The 845-nt window shown below is 43.2% G+C and overlaps 1 annotated feature.

The window, feature by feature from the left end:
- Positions 274-333: an enhancer, noted in NCBI's record as "active region_17643". NCBI's record gives its function as "activates an Ori minimal core promoter by ATAC-STARR-seq in GM12878 lymphoblastoid cells {active_cell/tissue: GM12878}" and the evidence as "EXISTENCE:reporter gene assay evidence [ECO:0000049][PMID:35858748]".

Genomic DNA, 845 nt, shown 5'->3' on the forward strand with positions numbered 1-845 from the left:
AGGGCTCCTTTTACAACCTTAATCAAATCATGCCACTCTTCTGTTCAAAATTCTCAGACCACATGTGGCTCTTGAGCACTGAGATGTGGCTGGCACATTTGTGATTTTACTGAATATTCATTAGCTTAAGTTTAAAATAGCCACATGAGGCCTGTGGCTGCTGTGCCGAAGGGTGAAGTTCTAATGGTTTCAATTCTCACTCAGAGTAAAACCAAAGACCTCCCAATGGGTCCACAGAGCCCTCATGATCTGCCTGCCATATTCTGACCTCCTGTCATACTGCTCTTCTTGCTGCTCCTGGAAGGTATGAAGCATACTCCTGCCTCAGGGCCTTTGCACAAACTGATTCCTACACCTGCAGATCTGTGGTTCTCTTCCTCACCTCCTTCACTCTTTCTATAAAGGTCAGCCTCAAAACAAGGAAACGTAGAGCCAGTGGAAGTAGAACCAGAAACATCCAATGTCAGGCAGGTAATGGTTAATTTATGTCTAATTTATCCAAGGAGAAGGATTTTATGAAAAGAAGAATGAGTGTTAGCCTGAGTCCCCTCCTAGACCATGACTCCTTGCCTGTGGGGTCCCTAAGTGGGCCCAAACATCCTTGGACACACAGTGTAACACCTGCATGCTTGTAACTAGAGTAGTTGTGGCCACGTGCCTGTACATGAAGCACTCGTGGTGATTTTTAAGATAAAGAGGAAATAAGTGGAAAATAGCTATTTGGGAAGGCTAGAATATGGGCCAAAGAAAACAGTATAAAATTAAAGCATAGAGAAGTTTTATCTGGGGGAAGAGAATGAATGTATCATTCTAACATATATGTCCAATGCATTAACCTGGTTCAA

This window comes from Homo sapiens, chromosome 20, assembly GCF_000001405.40.
Source record: "Homo sapiens chromosome 20, GRCh38.p14 Primary Assembly".
Taxonomy (NCBI): domain Eukaryota; kingdom Metazoa; phylum Chordata; class Mammalia; order Primates; family Hominidae; genus Homo; species Homo sapiens.